The 26737-nt window shown below is 54.4% G+C and overlaps 3 protein-coding genes across 24 annotated transcripts in view, besides 5 other annotated features; 1 reads left to right on the forward strand and 2 right to left on the reverse strand.

Moving 5' to 3' along the window:
* Window positions 1-1302, reverse strand: FOXS1 (forkhead box S1). Its single transcript, NM_004118.4, has one exon. It carries the CDS (start codon window positions 1238-1240, stop codon window positions 248-250), a length of 993 nt encoding a protein of 330 aa, NP_004109.1. The 5' UTR covers window positions 1241-1302; the 3' UTR covers window positions 1-247.
* Window positions 686-1243: an enhancer, noted in NCBI's record as "H3K27ac-H3K4me1 hESC enhancer chr20:30432791-30433348 (GRCh37/hg19 assembly coordinates)". NCBI's record gives its function as "activates a minimal SCP1, AML or CMV promoter by ChIP-STARR-seq in naive H9 embryonic stem cells {active_cell/tissue: H9 hESC(naive)}" and the evidence as "EXISTENCE:reporter gene assay evidence [ECO:0000049][PMID:30033119]".
* On the reverse strand, window positions 1291-26362 carry DUSP15 (dual specificity phosphatase 15). Of its 16 annotated transcripts, XM_017027656.2 has the most exons (12): window positions 26015-26225; window positions 25262-25295; window positions 22769-22851; window positions 20651-20700; window positions 19605-19679; window positions 18269-18440; window positions 6485-6595; window positions 6310-6374; window positions 5436-5572; window positions 4504-4601; window positions 2246-2374; window positions 1291-1355 (listed from the first exon to the last, which is right to left on the reverse strand). In XM_017027656.2, the coding sequence occupies exons 1-11, from the start codon at window positions 26033-26035 to the stop codon at window positions 2285-2287; spliced, it is 936 nt and encodes a 311-aa protein (XP_016883145.1). In that variant the 5' UTR covers window positions 26036-26225; the 3' UTR covers window positions 1291-1355; window positions 2246-2284. The 16 variants fall into 16 exon arrangements, with proteins under 16 accessions (XP_016883145.1, XP_016883144.1, XP_016883143.1 ...); XM_017027655.2 differs by lacking the exons at window positions 1291-1355; window positions 2246-2374; window positions 26015-26225 and adding exons at window positions 3335-4263; window positions 26274-26362; XM_017027654.2 differs by lacking the exons at window positions 1291-1355; window positions 2246-2374 and adding an exon at window positions 3335-4263.
* Window positions 14237-14336: an enhancer, noted in NCBI's record as "active region_17701". NCBI's record gives its function as "activates an Ori minimal core promoter by ATAC-STARR-seq in GM12878 lymphoblastoid cells {active_cell/tissue: GM12878}" and the evidence as "EXISTENCE:reporter gene assay evidence [ECO:0000049][PMID:35858748]".
* Window positions 17072-17271: a silencer, noted in NCBI's record as "silent region_12766". NCBI's record gives its function as "represses an Ori minimal core promoter by ATAC-STARR-seq in GM12878 lymphoblastoid cells {active_cell/tissue: GM12878}" and the evidence as "EXISTENCE:reporter gene assay evidence [ECO:0000049][PMID:35858748]".
* Window positions 25872-26141: a silencer, noted in NCBI's record as "silent region_12767". NCBI's record gives its function as "represses an Ori minimal core promoter by ATAC-STARR-seq in GM12878 lymphoblastoid cells {active_cell/tissue: GM12878}" and the evidence as "EXISTENCE:reporter gene assay evidence [ECO:0000049][PMID:35858748]".
* Window positions 26162-26261: a silencer, noted in NCBI's record as "silent region_12768". NCBI's record gives its function as "represses an Ori minimal core promoter by ATAC-STARR-seq in GM12878 lymphoblastoid cells {active_cell/tissue: GM12878}" and the evidence as "EXISTENCE:reporter gene assay evidence [ECO:0000049][PMID:35858748]".
* The window catches only part of TTLL9 (tubulin tyrosine ligase like 9), a 74367-nt gene continuing 73961 nt past the window's right edge, over window positions 26332-26737 (forward strand). For 4 of the 7 annotated variants that reach the window (NR_148010.3, NR_148013.3, NR_148011.3 and 1 more), the window contains exon 1: window positions 26332-26647. The gene's annotated coding sequence lies outside the window, so the exon portion shown is untranslated. Of the gene's footprint in view, window positions 26652-26737 lie in introns of all 7 variants that reach the window. The other 3 variants (NR_148014.3, NR_134519.4, NR_148012.3) reach the window with 1 other exon arrangement.

Below are 26737 nucleotides of genomic sequence, written 5' to 3' on the forward strand. Positions count from 1 at the left end.
TCATCATCACATGGCTTTATTGGCCCTGAGAGCCACAGAGTAAATCCCAAGAGGCCCTGCTTCCCCTCACCCCCAAGTTTGTCCGGAGGCCCCAGGGGCCTGGCTGAGCACCGCTTCAATCCTGGCTTTCTGTGTGGTTGTCCTTGGCTCACCAGGGCTGGGTCCTTCGAGAGTTCTTCAGGTCCTAGAGCCAGGCTCAGCCCGGAGGGTGAGGGACCTGCAGGGACTGCCCGAGGTGAGGCTGCCTTTACTCAAAGAAGAACATTCCTGGCGTCCGGTATAGGCAGGGGGTCAGCCCCAATGGGTAGCCGGAGCCTCCCTGGACAGGGAAGCCACCTGCAACCCAGGGTTCCTTGTGGTCAGTTGGCAGGGGCAGTGGGGCCCGGAGTGAGCCTGGAGGGGTGGGTGGTGCAGGGGAGGGGGCTGCTGAGGCCAAGAGGTGCTCAAGGCCTGGGTCAGCCCCCATGCAAAAATTCAGTGCCTGCAGCCGACACTGGTAGCTGCTCCCGATGCCTGATTCCGGGGACAAGACGGGCGTAGGGGCCTTATTAAAACTCTCAGCCTCTGAGAAGCCGGCAGGAAAGCCAAACGCTGGGCATGAGGAAGATGAGGTGGCCACGGGGAGCTCCCCTGGGCATGCAGGCTTGGGCGTGGAAATCTCTTTGGGCTCCATGGGTGGCCGAGGCCTGCCATCAGTGGTTGCTGGGCACATACTGGCTGGCATGGCCCCCACCAGACCCCCAAAGCTTAGGCCCTTGGGATCTGGCAGCTCTGGTGGGAATGAGCACTGCCTGCCGGTCGTGGCGTTGGGGACTCCTGGGTCCTGGCTGGTCGCCCTGAGGGGTCCACGGCGTGCCTTGGCGGGGCCCCGGGTGCCCTCAGCACCTGTCTGCCGGGTGAAGCGGCGGCGGCGGCGTAGGAAGCTGCCGTGCTCAAACATGTCGTGGCAGTCAGGGTCCAGCGTCCAGTAGCTGCCCTTGCCTGGCTTGCGGTCATCGCGGGGCACCTTGACAAAGCACTCGTTGAGTGACAGGTTGTGGCGGATGCTGTTCTGCCAGCCGGGCCGGTTGTGGCGGTAGAAGGCGAATCGGCCCATGATGTAGCGGTAGATGCCACTGAGGGTGGCCCGCTGCCCCGGTGAGCTCTGGATGGCCATAGCAATAAGGGCGATGTAGCTGTAGGGAGGCTTGGTTGGCTCAGTTGTGGGGGCGCCAGGCCCGGGCAGAGGCTGCTGCTGCATGCTGGCCGGGCTGCCAGGCTGCTGGGACCTGCTGGGTCAGGCTCAGCTTCCAGGGCTGGCGTCCGGAATAGCCTGCCCAGGCTGGTTAAAAGGTCCACTGGCCCAGCCTCCCAGCCTGGAAAGGCAAAAAGGGGTGGGTCTGCTGAGCCATCCTCCCCTCCTCCCTCGCCCCACTCCCACAAGGCCCAAAAGAGGCGGGCAGGAGAGGCCAGTAGTGGGAAGCCGAGCAGCTGCCAGGGATGAGGAGTTGGGAAGGAAGGGACTGAGACCCTCAGCCCACGTGTGCTGGGTGGTGGTGGCTGGGGAGGGACAGGATGTGAAACTGAGCGGGACAGAGACAAAAACAAAATGAGACAGAGGCAGAAACATATGAAACAGAGACAGGGAAAAAAGAGATAGAGACAGAGAGAGGTAGAGACATCACAAGAGGGAGAAAGAGGGAGAGACAAAGATAAGACAGAGGCAGACACAACGGACAGAGACACCCAGAGCCTCTCAGACACTCACAGAGAGACACACAGACATACACGTACAGACACACAGAGACACACAGACATACACGTACAGACACACAGAGACACACAGACACAGACACACACACAGACACACACACACAGACATAAGCACACACACACATATACACAGAGACAGACACACACAGACACATAGGCATACACACAGACACACACACAAGCACATACACAGACACACAGAGACATACACACACAGAAACACAGAGACACAGACACAGACACACACACACACACACACACACACACACGTAGTATACGGAGAAAGTGAGAATCACTGAGCAGGCAGAAACAAGGAAATCCACAAAGCCAGAGAGAAAGGAGATACTGAGAGACACAGGTGCAAACACAAGGAGTGAAAGGAATGAATAGAGAGAGAGAGAGAGAGAGAGAGAGAGAGAGAGGAGAGAGAGGCAGGGCCTGAGCCCAGTCCCCCTAGAGTGAGAGAAGCCCCAGGGGCTTCTCTAATCCCTACCTCTACTCCTGCTTTTCCCTCTTCTCCCAGGCCTGTGGTCTACTGCCTTCTCCTGCGGTGCAGAGGCCTTGGGGCCACACCACTCCTACCCCATCCTCCTAGCTCTGGGGTGTCTGCAGGGAGGGGCACCTAGGATGGTAAGGAGAGCCCATGAAATTCAGTTCTGCTGCATCCCTGTCGCCCCCTAGTGACTGGTGTGGGAAGGACAGCTATCTGGGGAGAGACATTCTCCCTCCCAAGAGGCACCTCAAGACCTTGGCTGAGCCTCAGTTTCCCCATCTCTAACATGGAGCTGGTGACTCCTCAGCTGTCCAGGCCATGGTGGGGAGGCAACAGGTTCCCCTTACACAGAATGCAGCACCCTCATCAAGAGCCTAGTATGGAGTAGGGATATGAACATGGCTGCGGATTGTCACTCTGAACTGAGGCTACCCCAGCTGCAGCCTGGGGTCGGGAGGTCCAGAGAGTCAGGCCCAGAACAGTCAGGCCTTCTGGAGGAGGGGACGGCATCCTCTCTGCTCTCCCACTCCCAAGTCACTGCTCACCCACTCTGTACCAGGCCAGCTCACCTCCCCAACCCTACACTTACTTCTTCAACCAACCCTGCTCTGGAGGGCTTCATTGCTTCTTTTGAATAGATGAGGGCTCTGAGGCTCAGAGAAGGTAAGTAAATTCCCTGATGTCCCACATCTAGTGAGTGACAAAGCTGGATATGAGCCTAGGATTCTGTAATTCCTAAATACTGCCTCTTCAGTGAGGGGCAGGGGTAGCGGAGAGTCGCTGGGTCCCCACTAGAAAACAGAATGTGAACTCCAAGAGAGTAAAGAGCATGCTGTTTTGCTGTACCCCCAGAGTCACACACTGGACACTGGAACAGAGGCCTGGAACAGAGTAGGTGTTCAAGAAATGTCTGCTAAATGACTAAACAAACAGCAATTGATTGATTTCTGTCCTTTATCGAATCACAGTTTTCCCCCCATGAAGGTGGCTTATTAATGTATCATTAAAAGAGACTTACAATATTGGCATCTGTAAGAGGATTCCTATAAATAAAATCAGAACTCAGAAAAGAATAAAAGGCCTGATATGTGGGGTGGAAAACAGCTACTTTATTCCCATGGCAGGGTAACCAACTTTCTGGTTGTAGTCCCCCTTTCCAGTTCTCAGATTGCCTACAACGTACAGCTTGCAAAGACCAGTGGGGCTTGGAGAAGGGCTGGTCTTCCACGTTGACCTCTGCCTTAGGGCTGCATTTGGAGGTCCGCCTCAGTTTCTTCAAAGACAGCATCCTACAGGTGCTGGTACTTCAGTGGTTAGCATCCAAAGCCCAGGGTTCGGCCAAGTTCCCTGTTTTGGGATCCTTCCCAGCCCCCAGAATAAAGAAGAGAGACTAGCTGCAGGGAGGAGGAAGGTTCTGTAAATTCTAGGCCCCTGAGAGGCTAGGCAGTTTTGTTATGGCTTGATCCCACACTAAACAACCCTGATGATCTAATTATTGGTAAAAACTTTAAGCAAACGTTTTAATGGACTCAACAGCAGGTTAAGGCTGGCTCTGAGGAAAGCGCTATTGACAAATTGGGCTGTCAGCAAGAGATGAAGTCTTGCTTCTGCTCCAGTTGCTGCCTTTCTGGGGCCTCAAGATCAAGTTCAGTTTCCTGCCGAAGCCCCATGCCCAGCTGGGGGGCGGTGTGGCCTACTCTCGAGTTCCGGGGCCCCGTGACAGAGGAGTGGAAGGCCGCGATCCACCTCTGCCGTCCGGCAGACCTGGGTGATGTGCCGGGGGAGGCCCCAAGTCTATGGGCTTAGTGTGGGCAGGGTTGGGTGGGAGTAGGGAGCCCCCCTGTTGGGGGCTGCCTTCAGCGGGTACAAGAAGAGGAAGCGGCTCGCTTAGGATGGAGGCAGCTGCATTGAAGGTGAGTGATGCCATCGGGGTTGCCAGGGGTTGAGGACCCATCTGGGCGCTCGGTTGAGGCACTTAGAGTGCAGGACGAGCTCCCAGGCCGAAGCTGCACCTGCACCTGCGGGGGCGGGTGGGGCGATGAGCAGACCCTCTCCATTTCCCGCCTCGGATGTTCCCATGGGAAGTCACAGCCCTAGTTACAGCCCCATCCCTACCCCCATTTTCCAGGTAGGGTCCTACAGACCCGAGGGTGCTAGAAGTGTCAGAGGCAGAGCTGGGACTGGAGGGAGTGTGGGAAGGGCTGTCTGGAGGGGACTGGAGGGCGTGCTTCTTGGCTGGAGTGGAAGGAGTGACTCACGTCCGCCATGATGAGCTGCTCCTTGGGGTGCTGTGTGGGGCCCGGGTCCTCCTCACCGAAGCACAGACAGATCTGGTACTTTGGGTCCGGTGACCATCCTGCAGGTGGGCACACAATTATACGACACTGAGACTATAGGGACTGGGCAAGAACTAGGCAACCCACTGGTGCCCATCTTGTGCTCATTTCCCATGCCCAAGTCCTGTAAGCCCACATCCCATTGTGTGCCTGTACCCTAGGCCCACTTCCACGTTCCTATGCCTGTCCCATGTCCCACATCTGTGCCCACTTCCAGGTCTTATGTCTCTTCCTTGGCCCCTATGCCCACCCCATGCCTTTATGCCCAACCCATGCCCACTGCCACTCACCTATACCTATCTCGTGCTTGGTGCACCTCACATCCACCTTATGCCCTAAGCCAACACATGTACCGAAGCCCTATTCTTATGCTGCACACCCAACGCCTCAAGCCTTCTCCATGCCAGCACCCCATATACGCCTGTATCCGTATATGTGCCCCCAGCCCTCCTGGTGCCTGTATTCTTTCCCATCCCTGGTGCTTTTGTGCCATATTCTTTGTGTCAATGTCCACTTCATGCCCAGCACCCTTAGGCCCATCCCCCTGGGCCTGCATTTAATGTGCCCACTCTCCTCTGTTCATGTTCCTTTGCCCACCGCGTCCTTATGCCCCCGTTCCCACGCCACTCTGTTCCACTCCTCCAGCCGTCCTACCGCCTGGAGGAAGCCGCGTGTGTTCAGCAGGTGGCAGGTGCGCCTGCGCTCCACCTTGTTGGGCTGCGCCAGTACAGGCCCTGGCACAGGCGCTTGGTGAACACGCCCTCCGGAGCCACCCAGAGCTGCACACCGCGCTCCAGGTGAGGCGGCAGGCCCTGCAACACGTGGGCGCTGGGCAATGGGTCGGGGAAGCGAACCTGCTGCAACGTGAGGTGGCGGCCCCAGCAGGCGCTCGGCGGCCGCCCGCGGACTCAGACGACAGCGCTGGGCTGTGCGCCCGGTGGCTTCGCGCACCAGCGCTGCGGAGAGAAGAGCCACACGTGCAGCCAGCAGGCTGTGGGGCGAGAGAGGGTGCACGGGCTGGACGTGGGCGGCGCTAGCTCCCCTCGCCTTCTTACCCTCCCCTTCAAACTCTGCCGGACCCAGAGGTCGTCCCAGCCTCTACCTCGGAAATTTTGGGTGCTCTCTCCCTATCAGTGATGATAAGAATTCTAGTAATAATAGTAGTAAACAATAGCTTCCAGTATAAACGAACTGATAGTCGAGCTCTGCGGTTAAAAGCTGGGGCCATCTGTACAGTGAGGGCATGACCCTCCCAGCAAATCTTCTGGGATTCTAGGAGCTTCCTCCCAGCAAAGATTTTGATGCAGGTAGAAATAACCATAACAGCGACAATAACAACAACCTAGCAGCGTCTCATGAGAAACCAGCAATCCTGCTCAGTGGTTAGGGTTGTGGGCTCTGCAGCCAGGCCCTCGGATTCTAGTCTATCACTGCCACTTAGGAGCTTTCCCAGGGTTACCAGCTGTGTGACCTCAGGCAAGGTTCTTAACCTCTGTGTCCTGGTTTGGGCATATGTAAAATGGGAATAATAGCAGCATCTGGGGGCTGTGGGGAGCTTGGAAGGGTGCCTGGCATAAACTAAGCCCTCAGGAAATGTTGACTGTTGTGGCTATTATTGGGAGCCTGGGCTGGGTGCTTTGGGTGGGAGAGAGAGGTGGGCTGGCCCCACCCCGCGGCCGTCCCCAGTTCAGCACACTGGTCGGAGGGGAGGGGATTTCGATTCCTTACCAGGTTGCTGAAGTCATCGGAGGGCATTGGGCACCAGAGGTTTTTGAGGTCCTATGTCTGGCACCCTGGTGAAGGAGAGGAAGCAGTCAGGCACCATCTCACCCTGACCCCAGACCCATAGATAAGGAGGAGGCCAGGGAGGAGGCAGGGCTGGGTGAGGAGACCCAGTCCTTACTGTGGTCAACCAAAGGGCCTGGAGGAGGATGGGTGGTAGTAAGGAACCCTGCTGGGCCAGCCTGTGGGGCCACTCCTTGTCCTCATCCTCTGTGGCAAATCCGGAGCCATCCTGAGCATTGGGAGAAGAGGCTGTGAGGGTGGGAGAGGAGGCCTGTGACTCCTCAGGAATTCCCAGACTGTTCCCACCAGTGCAGAGAGGTCTGGGCGGACTGAAGGCCAGCTGGGGTTGACAGTGTTTCTGAGTAAAAGGGCTGGCTGTCCAATGTATTAGAAGTCAATATTATGGCACTGGGCTTTTGAGAAAAGAACTTTGAAGTTTCAGAGCTCAAACTCCCCCGCCCCCATGGAGGTAAAGAGAAAGTTGATGAAGATGTTGTAGGTATTAGGGCCAGAGATGGGTCACTGTGATAGGGAGAGAAGTGCTGGGGGTAAATGCGGAGGTGAGGGAGCTGGAGATGAAAGGTATGCGGGACAGAGCCAGATGCTGATGCGGGGGTGGGGGTGATGAGCACAGAGCAATGAGCTGTCGACGATGGCGGAAAGGTGATGGGGTGGAGATAATAGGGGTGATACAGACAGAATGAGGGAGACAGAGCTGATGGGAACAGTGAGGGAGCCGGAGGTGATGGAGCTGGACCCGATGGGGTGCATGGGGGTGGAGTGATGGACCCAAGGAGGACAAAGGAATGAATGTGGAGAAGATGGGGTGGCTGCAGACAGGGCAATGAAACTGAAGATGGTGGAGGTGAAGGGAATGGCCTGGTGGTGCTGCAGATGGAGGGAGGGCTGCAGGAGAGGTAGAAAAAGGTGGAGCGGGTGGGAGCATGGGGACAGGGCTGGAGCTGGTGCTCTGGAGGGATGAGGTAAATGATGGTGCTGGAGGTCATAGCCAGAGAGGGTGGGGCCAGTGGGTGACTTGCTGAGAGGTGACTGAGCTGGCAAGGCTGCAGGGGCTGGAAGAACACACTCAGCAGGTCTGACCTGCAGGCAGGCTCAGCCACTTCCCAGGAGCTTCCTTCGGACTAAAGGGCATGCCTACCTCTTCAGGGGGCGCCCAGGCCCTGGTAACTGCATCAAGCAAGAGACAGCCTGCTATTCCCTGGGCCCCAGGAGGAACCCCCTCAATTTAGACGATCCCAGATGAGTACCCCAGCTCATTGTATGGCCTCAGGCAAGGTCCACCTGTTTCTTGGCCTCAGTTTCCTCCTTTTCTTTCTTTCTTTTTTTTTTTTTTTTGAGATGGAGTTTTGCTCTTGTTGCCCAGGCTGGAGTGCAATGGTGCGATCTCGGCTCACTGCAACCTCCACCTCCTGGGTTCAAGTGATTCTCCCGCCTCAGCCTCTTGAGTAGCAGGGATTACAGGCACCCGCCACCACTCCTGGCTAATTTTTTGTATTTTTAGTAGAGATGGAGTTTCACTATGTTGGCCAAGCTGGCCTCAAACTCTTGATCTCAGGTGATCCACCTGTCTCCGACTCCCAAACTGCTGGGATTACAGTTGTGAGCCACTGCATCCAGCCAGTTTCCTCCTTTTCTAGTGGGGAGATAAACTGTGTGGTCTAGGCGTCCTAAATTGACCAGCACATGAGTTTAAGCTCAATGAGTCCACCACCCACTTTATAGATGAGCAAAGAGATCCTTGTTGCCAGACAGCCATCGTTGGCCATTACCTCCAGGGGCAGGATGGTACCTGGGCCACAGCGGCAGACACAATGTGGTCTTGTAGAAGTTGGAGATGTTGGCCGGGCATGGTGGCTCATGCCTGTAATCCCAGCACTTTGGGAGGCCAAGGTGGGTGCATCACCTGAGGTCAGGAGTTTGAGACCCCTGGCCAACATGGTGAAACCCTGTCTCTACTAAAAATATAAAATAATTAGCTGGGCTTGGTGGCAGGCGCCTGTAATCCCAGCTACTTGGGAGGCTGAGGCAGGAGAATCGCTTGAACCTGGGTGGCGGAGGTTGCAGTGAGCCGAGATCTCGCCATTGCACTCCAGCCTGGGTGACAAGAGCGAAACTCCGTCTCAAAAGAAAAAAAAGAACTTGGAGGCGTCCAGCTGGCTGCACTCACTCTTGCAGCCCAGAAGGTGGCGCTCTTGTTGAAGGCAGAGTGGAATCGTTTCTTCCAGGTGGAGGGGCCTCTTTGTTGGTGCCCTCCAAATGCTTGCCCTTGTGCACCATCCAGGCCTGGAGGATTGGGGATGGGGGCCTTGGGGGGGCATTTGGGGAGGAATAGCTAGGGCACTGGGCCGTGCAGAGGGATGAGAATCTGCCCTGCCCCTTGCCCTCTCTCTCCCTCCTTTTCCCTTTCCTTTCCCTCCCTCCCTCCCCACAACACATATTATTTGAGCTCCTACTAGGACCCCAGCTAGGGCTGGGGATTGAATGAGGAATAAGATAGACATGGTTCCTGCTCTCAAGCCTAATGGGAGAAGACAGCTGTAATCAGTTAAACAGAAATAACTATATTCCAAATTATGGTTTGTGATAAATAAAAGAAAAAATAAATAGAGTGATGGGATATAAAATCATGGCAGTGGTTTGCTATCTGCCGAGCCATAGAATGAAATCCCTACCTATTGTCATACACAAAGTGGACTCCAGATGATTTTAAAAACCACAGGTAAGAGAAAAAATGATAAAAAATTAATGGACAATAATGTAGGAGAAAATCTTTTAGGGTCAGAGAACATTTCTTAAAATGTAAAAGGAGTGAGACCCTGTCTCTACTAAAAAAAATAAAAAATAAAAATTAGCCAGGTGTGGTAGTACATGCCTGTAGTCCTAGCTACTTGGGAGAGTGAGGCAGGAGGATCACATGAGCCCAGGAGGTCGAGGCTGCAGTAAGCCGTGATCACACCACTTCACTCCAGCCTGGTGATCAGGGCTCACTGCAACCTCGACCTCCTGGGTTCGAGTGATCCTCCCACCTCATCCAAGTAGCTGGGACTACAGGCGCACCCCACCATGTCTGGCTAATAGTAAAATATTTTTTGTAGAGATGGGGGTGTCACTATGTTGCCCAGGTGGTTGGTCTCGAACTCTTGGGCTCAAGTGATCCTCCCACCTCGGCCTCCCAAAGCACTGGGATTACAGGTGTGAGTTACCGTGCCCAGCCTGGGAGGCTACTTTAAAGAGTGTGGTCAGAAAAGGCCTCTTTCAGGAGGTAACATTTGTGCTAAAACCTGGATGGAGCCTGATGAACAGCTGGGGAAAGGTGTTCCAGTAAAAGGAACAGCAAAGGCAAAGGGCCTGCAGTGAAAAAGAGATGGATAATTCAGGCAAGGCCAGTGTGGTCAAAGAGGAGGCCATCAGGAGATGTATTGCTACATTTCTCTCGTTCAGCACTGAGGGGGATTTAACTGATGAATTGCACTCAATCATGCACTGAGGGGGATTTAACTGATGAATTGCACTCAATCATTGTTCTCAGAGACTCCAGGTCTTGTTGGAAACATGGACACCAAAACAGAAAAGCCACAGTTCCTTGTGGGTGCCAGGAGTGAGACTTTTTGAGGCTTGATTTTATTGTCTGCAAATGTCTGTAGGTGTCAATACCACCTAACCTCGTGAGGTTGGGGTGGGTATAAGATGAGCTGGTGCATGTAAAATGCTTAGATAAGTGCCTGGCACACAGTGGTAATTTATTGTGACACTTATTGTATTAAGAATAACATGAAGATGACGTGGGCACAGGGCAGAGGGTGCTATCACCATGACTAGAGGTGTATTGGTTTTGTTCATGGCTGTGGTCTCCAAGCGACTAGAATGGTCCCTGGCACACAGGACACCCCCAGTATGTATTTGTTGAATGCACTGAGCTGGGCCTTGAAGGGTCAGTAGGAAGTTGAGAGATGGAGTGACATTTTTGGAAGAGGGAAGAGCTTGAGCAAAGTCCTGGAGGTATAGAAGGGCGTGGTGCACTCAGGGGTCAGTGAGCAGCCTGGTGTTGCCCTTGCTGGGTGTGTGTGTCTGAGGGTACAGTCAACTCTCGTTATTTGAGGGAGTTTAGTTATGTTCTATAAAGTTCCCATAAACACTAAATTAGGGACTAAGGAACCATTGCTCCTAGGGGAAATACAGGGCTAGGTCCCTGCCAGCTTCTGGTCATACCATTTTCATCAACCAACCAACACATAACCTTGTTTTCTGTGTGTTTCTGTTTGAGGAACTTTATTTAATATGATGTTGATTTATTAACACTGAACTCGCAACCAACAGCTCTAAACCTCATGCCTGAACGAAGCTTATCTAACTTGTATTTTCCCCAGAAGGCATATGACAGCTTTCTTGCACTCAGGAACACTAGACCACACTTCAGCTTTATGCTTGGGGGCCATTTTCAATCACCAACAAAAAAGCACAAAAACATAAAAAATGTGGCACTAAACAGACTGTAAAAAGGACACGTGTTTACATATGAGAGCTGAAATAAGAAGGCAGAGAATTGCCTTGTTTGACCTGAGCTTCGAATGTTCCTGGGTGGTTGGGGGGCAACTTACCTTTTTTGCCATTCTGCGCACATCCATGAATGGCCATGAAACTGATACAAGTGTTGCTTTGGGGATTACAAATAAATCATAGCAAATAGGATAATTTGCAACGACAGGATCTATGAATAATGAGGGTCGACTGTGTGTGGTGGGGGAAAGAGCAAGAGAAATTAAGGAGGAAGAGATAAGCTGAAGCTAGATCATGAATGTCCTTGAAGGCCAAGCTTTATTCCATGAGCTTTGGGCACCAGAAGGGTTTGAAGCCAAGGAGTCACATGTGTGTGACAGTGGTGGATTGAGGGATGGGTCAGAGCAGCCAAAAGGATGGGGAGGCCAGCCCCCAGAATCTCTTGCCTCTGAACAACAATGCTGTTGTTCACGTATATGCATACGTCTTAAGGGACAGGCCATGCAACCACCCATTCAACACTTATTGAGCACCTACTATGTGCCAGGCACAGTGCTTGATGACACCACCCTCAAGCGGCTCATGGTCTGCTGGAGAAGACAAACTCACACCAGACACTTAAAATTCACAGGGAAAGTTGTTCAATGAGCCTTCACCTTTGGAGTCAGTGATGACTTGGAAGAAGCACTGAGTTGGAGCTTAATAAATGCATTAAATAAATGAATGCATCGGGGGAGGCTCTCTCTTTTTTAAAAAAAAATTTTTATTTCCATAGGTTTTGGGGAACAGGTGGTATTTGGTTACATGAGTAAGTTCTTTAGTGGTGATTTGTGAGGTTTTGGTGCACCCATCACCCAAACAGTATACACTGAACCCAATTTGTAGTCTTTTATTCCTCACCTCCCAGGGAAGGCTCTCTTGAGCAAGAGATGGTTAAGCTGAGGATGGTGGGAGCTGACCAGGTAAAAGTGAAGAGCAGAAGGCATTGCAGGCAAAGGGAATCGCATGTGCAAAGGTTTAACGGTGATAAAGACATGAAACATTTAGAAATGAAAGGAGCTACAGTTGGGGAGGGGAGGGAGTGGAGACAGATGAGGCCAGGGAGGGGCAGTTCATGGATGGCTTTGAGGGTATAGTGAGTGAGGAATTGAGACTCCTTCACAATGGCAATGGGGAGCTATGGAATGATTCTGATAGGGGAGGGTCGAGGCTAGATTTGCATTTAGAAAGATCCCTCTTAAGGACTGCGGGGATTGCTGAGGGATGGGGGAAGCAGGAAGCCCAGGGAGGTCACTGCAGTTGTCCTGTGAGAGCTGACAGAAATGGGTTTCAGCAGAGGGACCGAAGAGACATTCTGCAGGGAGAGCCAGCAGGCCTTGGTAATGGAGTAGAATGAAGCTGGAAGGTGGGGAGTGGCCAGGGTTCAGATACCCAGGTGGCAGAAGTTTGTGGGGCAGAGCTGATGAGTGTGATGTTTGGGGTGTGTTGAGTTTGAGGTGCTCGGGGGCCATCCAGGAGACAGTAGCCAGCAGGCAGCTTGATGAGCAGGCTTGGGGTTCAGAGGAAGACCCACAGCCACCATGCTGAGGCCACGGAAGGGGACAGTGGGACATGAGGAAGTAGGTTCAGAAGTGAGTGCTGGGAGCCCCAGTAGAGGAGGGGACAGGATGGAGGTTGAGAAACAAAGGCCTGGGAGGGGTTGCAGGGCAGGCAGCAGAGATTCTGGAAGCCAGATGGGAGTGTTTCAAGGAGGAGGGAGGGCCTACAAGATGCAGACCAACCCAACACCATCCAGGAGCCAAAGAAGATGAAGACAGTGACATATGCTTAGATTTGGCAACTAGAGGCATTATCAAGAGGGACAGAAGCCGGACTGGTCATGGGGGGCTGGGAGGCTGAGAGGGAGGGAGTTGGTGTAAGGAGACTCTCCAGGTGCTTCCCACTGTGGAAGGAGGGGGAGGCCACAGAAGGAGGGGCTGGAGGTGACTTTGGTGTTTGGGGTGGTAGTGTGTGGATGTGCGGTTGGTTGCTTATTGCTCAGGGAAGAGAGCCCAGAATTGAAATGACGGCAACTGTCCCTCCACAATGCCAGGAGGTCCTCCAGGGGGATCTTTCTAAATGCAAATCTGGTCTTTTTTTTTTTTTCTTTTTATAGAGACGGGCTCTCACTATGTTGCCCAGACTGGTCTCGAACTCCTGGGCTCAAGTGATCCTCCTGCCTTGACCTCCCAAAGTGGTAGGATTACAGTTGAGGCACAACTCCTGGCCACAAATCTGGTTTTGACCCTCCCCTACCATAGCTCCCCATTGCCCTTGTGAAAGAGTTCCAACTCTTCATGATGGCCTCAAAGCCATGCATGAACTGCCCCTCCTGGGCCTCATCTGCCTCCACTCCCTCTCCTCCCCCACTTTAGTTCTTTTCATCTCTAAATGCTTCATGTCTTTATCTCCATTAGACCTTTGCACATTCAGTTCCCTTTGCCTGCAATACCTTCGCCTCTTCACCTTTACCTGGCATGCTCCCACCATCCTCAGCTTAACCATCTCTTTCTCAAGAAAGGAGCCAGTTTGGAAGAAGTTAATGATGACTGGGGAAAGGAGGGACATTCCTGCAGGAGGTCCCTGAGAAGGGCTGGTGTTGGGAGCACCAAAAAGTTTCCTGAGCTGCAGAGGTTGATGGGTTTAGGGGTGGGAGGCTGACAGAATTCCCATTAGTGCATTGGTGGAGTGGGAGAAGAGGCCCTCTGAGAGGGGCCGGTGGTGCAGGTCGTGGCAGCCTTGGCTGATTGTTTTAAGAAAGTGTCTGAGAGTCCCTCATATGTAGAGAACATTACCCTCAGCCCTAGAGGCCAGAAAGTGGCCCAGGGTCACAAGGCTATCCGTCAGTCTCAGTGCTGGGGCAACTTGTGTCCAGAGCCTGCCCAGTGCTGAGCGTCTCCAGTCCCCTGTCCCCTTGCCCTGAAGAGTGCTGAGTCCTGTTGCACCTGGTAGCCCTGCTTGGCTACATGCTTCCAGGGGATGCGAAAGAGGGTCTTGCCCGCATCCTCCCAGCATAACCCCACGTAGCACCCACTCTCAATCTGTGCCCCCCCAGTCCCAGAGGCACAGGGAACCTCTGGCTCTGCCATGGGTCACCTGCCGTCGGGGACCTTTCCTTCCTTCTGGCCATCAGGGATGCAGGGGCCAGGTCTTGGGCTTGCAGTGGCTCAACCCACGTGGGCCTGGGGACTACGGGCCACCTGGATGATGCTGGGAGGCTATGAAAGTGAAAGTCTGGGCAGGCAGGTCTCACTTTCTGTTTTGTCCCCTCTCTTGGGAGGCCCTTTCCTTTTGCACCTCCCCATAGCAGCCTAGCCTGGAGGGCATTGATCCTCTTTTATGGGGTGGCAGGAGGCGCTGTGAGACACAAGACCCACGCAAGTGGGGTAGCCTGGGCTCTGCGGGTCTCAGGAGGCCGGCCCCCATGAGCATCCAGAGACACAGCTTTGCCCCAGTCTGCAACTGTCACCTGCTCTTCCCAGCCCACCTGGAAATTTGTCAGTCTCTTTTCAGGACCTGGACTGTTGAGATTGGAAAGGCACAGGGATTCTCAAACTAACTCCTGCCAGAACTGAGAGGCAGCAACTCGTTTCAAATGCATACTCATGACCTCCATCCCAGATCTGCAGAATCAGACTTTCTGGGCAGGAAGCCCAGGAAACCCACATTGTAATGAGTTCCCCCGTGAGGTTCTGATGCAGGTAGTCCAGGGGTCACACTTATTTCTGTAAATATTAGGAGTTCCCACTTACCGACTGCTCATCAGTGCTGGGCCTGGCTAAACACTTTCCTGCAGTGTCTCAATTGGTTCTCACAACAGCTTATGAGGTTGGTAAAAGCCCTGTTTTAATGTTAAGACTGAGCTCAGAGAGGTTAAAGCCCTCTAACAAGGTCACAGAGCTAGTGGGTGGTGGAGCCAGGAGCCAAAATGTGTCTCTCTGCTCCCTAGAGCCCGGGAGCCTAAGCAGTGCCCCACACTGCCTGCCGACAGCTACACCTGTACTTTGTGGATTCTTGGTGGGGGTCTCTGACCCCCTAAAAGTGAATGTAAATTTCATGTCTATGCATTTTTTTGGGGGGGGGGGATTTGCATCTTTCATTAAATTGTCAAAGGAGATGTGGGATATGAAAAAGATCAAGTTGCTCAGATTGCTCCACTCCTTGCTGTATTCATGGAACTGAGGCTCTGAGAGAGAATGCCCCCCACTCCCTGCACCTTTGCACAGCACTGGCACAAAGCTGGGCACCCAGCCAGCATTGACCAGAGACTGGAAGCATTGTTCCTGATGTGTACCTGCTGGGAGGGCTTTCTTCCTGCTCCTCCTTTCCTCTAGCTCCCATATTCCAGTAGCCACCTGGCTCTTGAAGCATCTTGAAGGATTGATCTGGAATATCAGATCAGTCCTATAGATGATGGGGGCCATGGAGGCTTTTTTTATTTTTCTTTTTTCAAACAGGGTCTCGCTCTGTCACCCAGGCTGGAGTGCAGTAGCGCAATCTTGGCTCACTACAGCCTCCGCCTCCATGGAGGCTTTTAAATAGGGGAAGACACCATCAGAGGTAGAAGGTGTTTTAAATGGGGCGTCTGGCAGCACCATTAACCAGCCTGGAGGACTGCGGGCTCCCTGCACTCTGGTGAGTCCAGCCACTTTGCTCTTCACATGAACTGTGAAGGGAAAGACCCTAACTCATGATGGTAGGTAGTTAGGAAGCAGCTCCTTCTGTTTTTGGAGGTTACTGGCAAGGAGGTTACTAACTCATGGCCTTAATGTTCTGTCTGCCTGGAATGCTTCCCCCAGATAACCAAACGGTCCACTCCCTCACCACCTGACATATTTTTTATTTGCTGTCTTCCCGACCAGAATGTCAGCAACATGAAGGCAGAGGTTTTGCTCATTGCTGTATACCCAGGGCCGAGCACAATGGCTGGCACACAGTAGGTACTCAATGGACATTTGTTGAATGAATGAGGAGTAGGAAGTTGGGGTGGCAGCTGAAGGTTATTTTGTCCATCCTCCAACTCCAGTGCTGGAATCGGTGCCTCCCCGACAGCCCTGAGCACAGTGATTTGTGCATATTAAGAACCCCATACGAGTGGCTTATTGGGTTATAGCTATTTTCGATCCCTCTCAACTTTGGGTTAACTTTAGTTTTGGAAGTATCAGCTGCAGTGACTTCTACTCATCCTCAGAGCCAGCTACCGCTTTGATGGGCAGCCCTGGCCTTTAAAGTCTTGGCAGGAAGGGTCATTCCCACTAGCTGGGGGTGGAGCCTCCTTGTCAGGAACCTCCCAAACCAGAGGAGCTGCTTCCTAACTACCTACCGTCATGGGACTCAGACTGACTAAGCTAGCGTCCAGCTTTCCCTGCTCTGGCTGTGTGTGCTCCGGCAAGCTGCCTGATCTCTCTGAGCCTCTGTTTCCTCCCTGAGGATTAAGTGAACTCATGCAGTAAAAGGTCAGGATGAGGGAGGCGCTACCTCACCTTCCTAGCTACTATTTGTGCACAGGGAAGGGAAGGGAGTCGGGGAGGGGAGGGGCCCCTCATGGTGGAGGAGAGGGGTTCAAAAGGTGGAAGGGGGTTCCGAGAGAAGGAGGGACTTGGGCCTTGTCAGGCGGGACACCGTGGCTTTGGGGGAGGGGAGATGTTAGAGAAGGAGGTGGGGTCCCAGGAGGCAACTCCGCAGACTGCAGTTGCGGGAGGGTGGTGGGCTCCTCAGGCCCCCAGGGGATGCAGGCTCCCTCGCATCCCCTTTTCTGCAGGCTGCTGGCCCCTGGCAGTCCTGCTGGCTCCTGGCAGAATCCTGCTGCCCCGCCTTTGTTGAATGACTGGGAGGCACTCGGACAGGCAGCTTCTTCTGTGTCTCTTTAATACCCTCCAGGCCCGTCAAACCCTCCACTCTCCCTCCCTCCCCTCCCGCCGCCTTTAAGGGTGGGCCCCCTCCCCCAGCCCAAGGACTAAGGCACCAGGTGGCTGCAGCAGGCCGGCCCGGACACAGAGACGCACAGGTTGGGGACGCTGACTGCAGACGCGGACGAGCAGGGCGGGCGCGGGAGGCAGGGTTCAGGCCGCCGCGGGGCTCCCCCAGCCTCTGGGCCCGTCCTGGGGGGCGTGGAAGGCGCAGACAGCCCCCGAAGGGAGCCAGTCGGAAGTGGGGAGCCACGGCTGGACTGCATCCTCACTTGCCGCCCTTGCGGGACAGACACCGGGGGAGGCAAGAGAAAGTCTGCTTGACGCGCGCCAGCAGCGGCAGCGGCCGGTGGGCTTCCCGGGGCGTGCGCGGCACCAGGCGCTGCACGGTTCCCTCGGAGGCTGCTGAGTGCGGCCCGGCGGAGGAGGCCGAGGTCGCGGAGCCCTGCCGGCAGCGCTTGCACAGCGGCAGCAGCGCGCGCAACTCCTCCTCGTCGCGGAAGGGGCTCTCGCCGAAGCGCTCCTCCAGCTGCCGGCGAAGCTGGGGTGGGCGGGTGAGGTGGGCGGGGTCAAGGCCGGCGCGGGGCGGGGTCAAGGCAGCCGGCCCCGCCCCCACCCTCCCGACCTTCGCCCTTCTCCGAGCGTCCCACACCTCGCTGAGCCCCTCCCTTCCTGAGCGTCTTCTTTGCCTCCCTTCTCCGGGGTTTCCATCCCCTCACTGAGTCCCTCTTCCCTTCTAGGAGGCCCCTCCCTCTCCCTGACCCCTCTTCCCCCTTTGACACGCCAGCTTCCAGACCTGCTAAAGTGACCCCCAGGCGCCCAGCGGGGATCACTCCTCCCGCTTTGCACTTCTGGGTAACTCCTCCCACTTTGCACCTCTGTGCTCACAACCCCATTCCCACAGATTTCTTCCTTGCCCGACTCTTTCCCAACGCCGTGCTGCAGATGAGCCTCTGGGTACCGCCCTCAACCTGCTGAGAGCCCTCCCCCTCTCATCCTTTGTTCCCAGGGAGGCTTAGTTCCTGACATTTCTACGTAGCATCTGCCCGAGAGGTATAAGAGGGAAACTGCTGTGGTCTCATCAAGGACACAGGGATGGAGTAGGACATGGACAATTCTCCCCGATGGGGTCAAACACTCAAATCCTTCAGGTTCCAGCCAGGTAGGGCAGGCAGTGGGGAGGGCTGGAAGACCTGGTCAAATGGAAGGGCCCGCACTGATCTAAAGGCATTCAAATTCTAAATTGAAAAAGAAAACACCTGGCTGTCTAACAAAATACACCTAGGAGGTGGATTAGCTCAAAGGCCATGAGTTTGAGACCCTAGAAAAATCCGGGTCTGAGGCACAGGCTAAAAATGTTCCAATCAGTGATCAGTTCGAGTGGGAAGAAGGATCTCCCACCCCTGGCCCAACCCAGCCCTTGACCCCATCCCTACCTTCTGGGAACTGGCCCAGCCAAACTCTTCAAGCTGCTGCCTAAAGCCTGGGTTGGGGTTGGCGATGGGCCTGGTGGCCTTGATGGCTTCAAGCACGTCCCGCCAGCCTAGCCCCGTCACAGTCATCACATACGCTGTCACAATCGTGGTGCTGCGAGAGATGCCTGCAAAGCTGGGATCCCCAACAACCCCTCAGGCTTCAAGTAAGATCCAATGTCCTCCATGCCCCCAGGCACCCCACCCTGCTTCAACTCCCCCACCCTTGCCTCCTGAGCTCCAACCATAAGGGACCTGTCAGGACTTGCCATCCCACCTCCAGGCCTTTGCCATGCTGTTCCCTCTGTCTAGAGCATCCCCTGGGTTCTCCCACATCAAAAGCCTGAGTGAAACACCATTCATTCAGTCAATAAATATGTCCTGAGCATCTGTTCTTTTTCAGGCACTGGGGATGTAGCGGGTATAAAACAGGCATGGTCTTTGCTGTCCTGGAGCTTACAGTATGGCTGGGGGGGGGGGACAGACGTTGATCAGATAATCAATTCCAGGTGGTGATAATAGCTTTGAGGATGAGTCTGGGGGCTAGGAGATCCACATAGGAAGAGGTATTAATCTATAGGTGGGGTGGGGTTAGGGAAGGGGTTCCCAAGGAATAGATATCAATGAAATTTGAAAGATGAATAAGGGTTAGTCAGGAACCTTCTGGGCAGTGTGTACAAAGACCATGAGGCATAAGCCTCGTAGATTTGGAGGATGGGGAGGAGGTTAGTACAGCTGGAAAGGGGAAGGAGGGAGAGGGTGGGAAATGAGGCTTGGGAAACCGGCCTCCTTGCTGGGCCTCCAGCAGAGCCAGCTTGAGCCTGGATAGGATGGGCCTTCAGTGAGAAGTTAAGGAATGAATGACATCAACTGAGCGAGGGGCACCTGGGAAGACCCAGAATTCCTGTCTCCCAGCTCGGGGTTCCCCACTGCCCTGCACCATCACCTCCAAGGCCTGGAGGGGAGGAGGGAGGCCCAGAACTACTGGAGGGTGATGAGCTACCTCCATGACCTCACCTATCCCTCCCAACAGTCCCATCAGGTCAGCTTTCTTTTCCGCATTTTACAGATGAGGACATTGAGTCTCAGAGAGAAACAGCTACTTGGCTATGGCCACACAGCTCATAAGGAATAGAGTCCCGGGTTGGCCTCTCTCCAGTGAATGGTGGGCCCTCAGGCACTGTGACAGGCTGGAGAAGATCCCTCACAGGTCCAACCTTCCCACAGGGGGAGTGTGTGTTCAGCAGAGGGCACAGCCACTTCCTTCCTCCCCCACCTTATCCCCCTCCGCTTAACTCACCAGTGCACAAGGCAGTTCCCCCCATTAAGGCGGCAGCAGTGGATGAAGTTGATACATTCTTTGAAGTGCTTTTTGCTAGAGGAGAAAGCAATAGGGTAGGGAGCACTGCAGGGCAGACCTCTCAGGAGTTGTTCCGCCCCCACCCCAATTACAGGATAGCAAGGGACATAGAGCCCTGGGGTCCCCAGGTCAGCCAGCACATGCAGTGAATATGGGCCAGTACTTAGTATGAGCTGGAGGTGTGTTTGTGTGAAGCAAGAATGGTGGCATTTCAGGCAGTGAGAGAGACCAGTCAGGACAAATCTCACCATCTAGGCAGGAGCACTCCTCCTGTGGACCCTGTTTTCATGTTGGGTTTATTGTGGCCTTTCAGAGAAATGGGTGGGAGGAAACACAGGGGTCCCACTCCTCTGGGGTCTGCAATCAGAGCACCTGGGCACAATGATGGGCAGCAGCAGGCTGGGAGCAAGATTCCCAAGGGGCAGCACTGTCTGCTTGGCTCCATCCCAAGCGGGGAGGCACTACTGCTGATGCCACAAACAAAAATCCCGTTTTCTGAGCTCAGTTATACTCCAGGCCCTATCCTAGATCCTTGACCTGTGTCATCTGATCTTCGAAAGCCTCCTTGACTCTGATCATGCACTCCTGATTTACAGGTGAGGCCCAGAGCGGGGAAGTGATTTGTTCAAGGTCACACAGCAAGTAAATGGCAGAGCCTGGCCGGAACTCAGATGTCTTAACCCCAAGGCCAGGAACAGGCTGAATATGACCCTTTCAAATCAGCTGGTGTAGCTGGTCCCAAGGTACAGAGTGTCCTTTTCCCATTTCATAGCTGATGAGACTGAGGCTCGGGGAGGTGGAGAGTCTTGGCCAAGGGCCTATCACAAGGGCATGGTTGAGACAGAGTCAAACCTGGGACTGGTTGAGTTGAACACCTGTGATAGCTCTCTGGCCTGAGTACTTTGTCCTCCTTCAAACCCCCTCCCCCTCCCCCACCACAGAAGGCAGCTGTCTGTCCATCTATGGGTCCATCCAGGGGAACTTACATGGGTACCTCAGGGGTATCAGCGACCGGGATGCGAAGGTAGGTGATATCCTGCAAGTACAAAATACACTCAGGCAGGGGACCTTGCCTGCAACCCTCCCTGATGCTGGTCCGAGCTGCCCAGGCAGGGCATAACCCCAGCCCAGTTCCTGCCCTTCTCTGGCCCACTGTGGTCCTCTCTGTCCAAAGAAAGTAGTTGTCATCTCTGAGGCCTCCCAGCTGTGACCACTTGTGATTCCTGAACCTTCTAAGCACATGGTGTCTCCTAACCCCATCAGCGGCGTGGGCATGACGTCACCTATCCCTCCCAACAGGGACCCAGGAACCTTTATCAAGTAGCTAGGAAAGGGCTACTTAAAGGGACTCCACTCCAAATGGGAATTACAAAATTACATCGTAAAAAAGGTAGAGCAGATTTGATTATCTTGAAAAGAAACAAAAATCATGAAAACAAGTATACATTTCAGGAATCATGGTTATAAAATGATGTGCTGATTATGAGAATAATCAAGGAATAAATTGTCAGGAATTTTTTCCAGCAAACTTGCTGTGATGTCCTTTGTTTCCTGATTAGCCACACAATATCATGAAGATTATTTTTGCCCGCCTCCTGAGGACCTCCTTGCTTTTCTCGAGAAACTGTCTTAACATTTTTATATTCAAATGGCTCTTTTCAGGGGCCAGGCCCGTCACTGGCAGTAACTAAGGGACCACCAGCCAGGTTCTCATTTGTCCATGGCTTTGTGTGAGATTCCAGCCCTTCTCTCACTCACATTCCCCAAGGTCATGACATCCTGCATCTTTGGCAAGGTTTGCAATTTCACTTTGCAACACATTTGGCCTTGGGTTTGTGTGGTACTATCAAACCCTGCCTGGTAAATTTGCTGATGGAGGGGGGAAGGAGAGATGCTTGGGAGAAGCAGGAAGGGCCGTAGGAGCAGAGACTCATTGTGTAGGCTGTCATTTCATTAGTAAATACACTCATGACTTGACAACCTTCCCCATGCACTCTAGTGACTGTTTACTCCAAATACTCCCAAACGAGGCTGCCCTATGAGGCAAAATAAGACTGCAATGGCCTGGAAATTTCTTCTCTGAATGACATTGAAAATCATAGATTATTAGAGGTTGCTGTTAGAGAATATCAAATCTGACATATGGGAAAACTGAGGCCTAGAGAAGGGAAGGACCTTGGCCAAGATCACACAGCAAGTCTATGGCAGAACCGGGTCTTCATTTCAGATCTCCAGGACCTTTTCCCACCCATGGTTCTTTCTCTCCAGTGGATGATACAGACTCTAATAGATAAGGGTGAAGAGGCTCTGTTTATGGGATAAGAATATGATTAAATTTGTTATAGTATCAGTTGTGATTTGTTGAGCATCTATTTATGTGGTTCCCAACCACTCAGTGAAGTGGGTACTGTTATAAAGTTCCCGTTTTACAGATCAGGCAACTGAGGCTCAGAGGGGGCAAAGTCCTGTCCCCAAGGTCATAGAGCAAATAAACAGTGAAGATGTTCCTGACATAAGCACGTGTAGTCTGGATTTATTACTTTCCTCTGCTGGGTCCTAACACCCTCATGCCCCTTTCCCAGGACTTGATAATACCAGCACCAACCGCCCTAGAGGGGACCATGCTTTACAGTGTGCAAAGCATCTTCACCATCCTGCAGTCCCTTTGCATCCTCACAGCAGCCTTCTGGGGGCAGACAGAGCTGAGGGATCAAAGCCCTAGAGAGGTGAAGTCACAGCCCAAGGTTGCATAGCAAGATACAGAGCCCACAGTCATCCATTTGGATTCATCCATCCAGTTGGGTCATGGGAAGCCCATATGGGGGCCATTTTAAGGTTCAGTGTGAGACTTCTGGTGCTAGATGGCCTGTGTTCATACCCCAACTCCTCAGCTTCCTGGATGTGTGACCTCAGGTGAGTTAATTGACCTCTCTGGGCCTCAACTGCCAAATAGGGATGATAATGTAAAATGGCCCAGTGGTGGAGACCAAATGAGTTAACATGAGTCAAGAAGGAAGCATAGCACCTAGCACATAGTAGATATTTGATAAACAGGTCTGCACCCTCCCACCCCCGCATAGCCCTGGGATGGGGGTAAGAAGTACCTGCAGCAGAGGCTGGGGTGACTCATGGATAGAGATGATGTGTGTGATCTTATTTCGGCCCAGCTGATCCAGGTCTTTGGCATCTGAAAGAAACAGGATGCTTGAGCCAATCTGGCTGGCGGGATGTCCTGATGGCCAAGTGCGGAGGGAGCTCACTGCCTGCCCAGCTCTCCCTCTCACCCCACCACTCCACCTTGGCCCACGCTCTGCCGGCTCCCTGATCCTCTTGCTTCTGGGGCACATGCAAGTAACAGTACAGCATATCCCCATCCTTGCTCATTCTGTTCTTTCCATCCAAAACACCCTTCCCAGGCATATTCTTTGACCCAGCAATTCTGCTTCTAGGAATCTTGTCTACAGAAGCGCTTGCTCACACAGAAAGCTGTGTGTGGAGGATGATGTTCTCTGCAGTCCTGCTTATATCACAAATAGTTTAAACATGGGAACAACCTGGTGTTCATTAAAAAGGGACTGGATGATTAATGGTGTAGGCATACTTTGGCACAGTGTGCCGCCATTAAAAAGAGTTCTATATGCTGATGTGCAATGATGCCCACAATGTTTTTTTTTTTTTTTTTTTTTTTTTTTTTTTGAGACGGAGTCTTGCTCTCTCTCCCAGGCTGGAGTCCAGTGGCGCGATCTCGGCTGACCACAAGCTCTGCCTCCCGGGTTCACGCCATTCTCCTGCCTCAGCCTCCGGAGTAGCTGGGACTACAGGCTCCCGCCACCACACCCGGCTAATTTTTTTGCATTTTTAGTAGAGACGGGGTTTCACCGTGTTAGCCAGGATGGTCTCGATCTCCTGACCTCGTGATCCGCCCGCCTTGGCCTCCCAAAGTGCTGGGATTACAGGCGTGAGCCATCGTGCCCGGCTGATGCCCACAATGTATTTTTAAGGATACAGAATAAGCTTCCACTTTTGTTTTAAATACTATGTCCTTATCTACAAAGATATATGAACAAGGATGTACCCAACAGTGGCCCTCTCTAGGGGCTGCATACCCAGCATATGCAGATCTTTTATATTCAGAATGAATAACACATGTCCCCTCTATCTCCACTTCCTCATTCGATGAGCATTTACCGAGTGCTAACCATGTGTATACTTTGGCTGGGCACTGGAGGTCTGGGGCCAGCTTCGTGGCTCCTGCCCTTATGGGGCCTGCACACTTACAGAGGGTTCAGACCTTACTTGGCCAAATACTCACAGAAATCAAGGTGGCATGAGCGGCTGAGGGAGCTCCCAGGAAGGAAGGGACCAGGATTTACAAGGGTGAAGCACCTGAGCCCCTCCCTCTCTAAAGCTTTTTCTGACTCTGCAGATGGAAATGATTTTCCCACTTTGAGTCACCCAAGCCCTGGATCAGTCTGCCCCTTAGCATGTTTTCTTTTCTTTTTTCTTTCTCTTTTTTTTTTTTTTTTTTTTTGAGACAGAGTCTCGCTCTGTTGCCCAGACTGGAGTGCAGTGGCACGATCTCGGCTGACTGCAACCCCCGCCTCCCGGGTTCAAGTGATTCTCCTGCCTCAGCCTCCCAAGTAGCTGGGATTACAGGCGCCTGCCATCGTGCCTGGCTGATTTTTGTATTTTTAGTAGAGACGGGGTTTCACTATGTTGGCCAGGCTGGTCTCGAACTCCTGACCTCAGGTGGTCTGCCCGCCTCCGCCTCCCAAAGTGCTGGGATTAAAGGCGTGAGCCACTGCGCCCAGCCCCCTTAGCATGGTTTCTACCCAGCATGTTTTCTACCCAAGGTCTATGTTCAGCTCTGCCTGCCTGCCACCAGCCTGGAAGCCCCTGAAGAACAAGGTATCTATACATGGGTGTCCCCTCCTCCTGACTGAAGATTGTGGAAGGAATGGATGAGAGAGTGGGGAATGCAAAGCTTGCCGGCTCACCGCCCCCCCAACTTCCAGCTCTAGGCTGCCCAGCTGCTCCAGGGCTCTGGGGTGCGACAGTGTTGGTGCTCATGACCCTGCTCACAAGAAGGCCCAGCCCATCTCCAGGGACCTCTCCTCTGACAAGGAGGAAGTTATGGGGGGAAGAGTTCCCAGCTTCCCCGCTAGAAGCAGCACCCGCAAACAGACCTCAACCCAGAACCTCAGGGCCAGAAGAGTGCTCAGCAGCTGGTGGACCTTTTGTGCTGAGGAGGAGGCTGAGGCTTAGCGCAGGTGTAGACTTGCTCAGGTCCACAGCCCAGGCCCCGAGCCCTTTGCTCTGGCCCTTTGGTCTGGTGGTAGAACACTGGGGAAGGCTGAATGGCGGGGAGGGATGTCAGTGTCAGGCCCCCATGCTCCCTCCATGTCCCTTCAAGCCTGGGGACACTCGCCTGCATGTGCACCCCTTGTCCTCCATCAGCCTTTTCCCCCTCCCAGCCTGGGGCCGCTTCCCTGCCCCCAACCCCATTCCTGAGATGCATGGGCCAGGGCATGAATGGTGGACACAGGCCTGAGACAGGCAGAGTGCCATGGCCTCGGGACAGAGTGGGCAGTGCTCACCAATGAAGTTTCCGAGGTAGAGTCCAGGAAGTACCTAGAGGAAGGACAGGCAAGGGTCAGTGGGGCAGGGGCTGCACCCCCTTCCACCCCCAGGGCAGCTGGGGGGCCCACAGCCCCTCTCTGTCCCATGAAGGGTATGGACCTCAGGGCTCAGGGAGCACTCTCTTCCCTTTTGTGGGCCCTGAGTCCTCTGTGAGAGGGGTCTGGGGCTCTGGGGAGGGTAGGCTAGGGGGCCAGTTAACCAACCGAGGGAACCAAGGGAGGCCAGCTTGGGTATGAGAGGGGAGAGGAGGAAGGCAGGTCTTAGGAGGAGAGGAGAGGAGAGAGGTAGACTTGCAGGGTGCAGGGATGGAAATTCTGGGGCTGGGGAGGCAGAAAGGCAATGACAGGCAGAGGCGGGACAGGATGGAGAAACAGCCCCGGAGAGAGCCGAGGAGTCAGCGACAAGGGAGAGGGACACATGCAGACGGAGAGCAGGACTCACTGGGAGACAGCCTGGGAGTGACAGCCACAGCAAGACAGCGAGAGACACACAGAGTCACGGAGAGAGGGCGGACACAGCGGGGACAGAGACGCAGGGTCAGAGAGGGGGAGACCCGACAGCCGCGGTCTCGAGTCACAGGGACACGGAGATGCCGCCGCACGGAGACCGGCGAGAACAGAAGGTCAGAGGCGGGCGGACCGAGCTGGTCAGCGCCGGGCCGCGGCGGCCGGGGCGGGGACCGGGGAGGCTGCGCGGGGCCCGCCCCCTACCTTGGTCATGCCATTGCCCATGATCCCGGGGGCGGCGGTCCGGGTGCACCCCCAGCTCGCCGCCCGGGAAGCGATCCGGTCACAGCTGCCCTGACGGCCCAGGCCCGACGCCTGCAGCCTGGCGGGGAACGGGGGGCCTGGCGTCCGCGGCCCTGCCCAGCCCTGCCCAGCCACCGCCACCGCCCGCCGACCCCCGGCCCGGGAGGGAAATGGTGGTGGAGCCGCCGCTGCCACCGCCGCCGCCGCAGGCTCCTCCTACCCCTTCGGTCATGTGGGGCCCCCGCCTCGGGTCGCGGCGGGGGGCCGGACAAAGCCCCAGTGTGCCGGGCCCACGGCCCGCGGGACAACGGCAGTTTGTTGGGGCCGCGTGGGGCCGCCACCTCCGGAGGTGGGGGCGGGGGCCTTACCCCACCCTGGCACCGGCAGGCGCGGGCGGATGGGGGGATGTCGCCTAGAGCCCCCCGGCCGGCCCACAAACTCCCGTCCCCCTTCCGGCTCTGCCTGGACGTCCCTGCGGGCCCCGGGGGAAAGCACCCAACTTCTCCCGCCTCGGCTTCTAGCAGAAACGTGACGGGGCTGGACTTTGATCGCCGAGGGCTCTCTGCTCTTCAGAGTCTGCTTGGAACGGGATAAGTGGGTAATTCCTTCCGATACATCCTCTCCACCCGTGCAGAGACACCCTACCAACCAGCCTTCCTCCTTTCCCATCCATTCTCCCACCCT

The sequence above is a fragment of the Homo sapiens genome, chromosome 20, assembly GCF_000001405.40.
Source record: "Homo sapiens chromosome 20, GRCh38.p14 Primary Assembly".
Taxonomy (NCBI): Eukaryota; Metazoa; Chordata; class Mammalia; order Primates; family Hominidae; genus Homo; species Homo sapiens.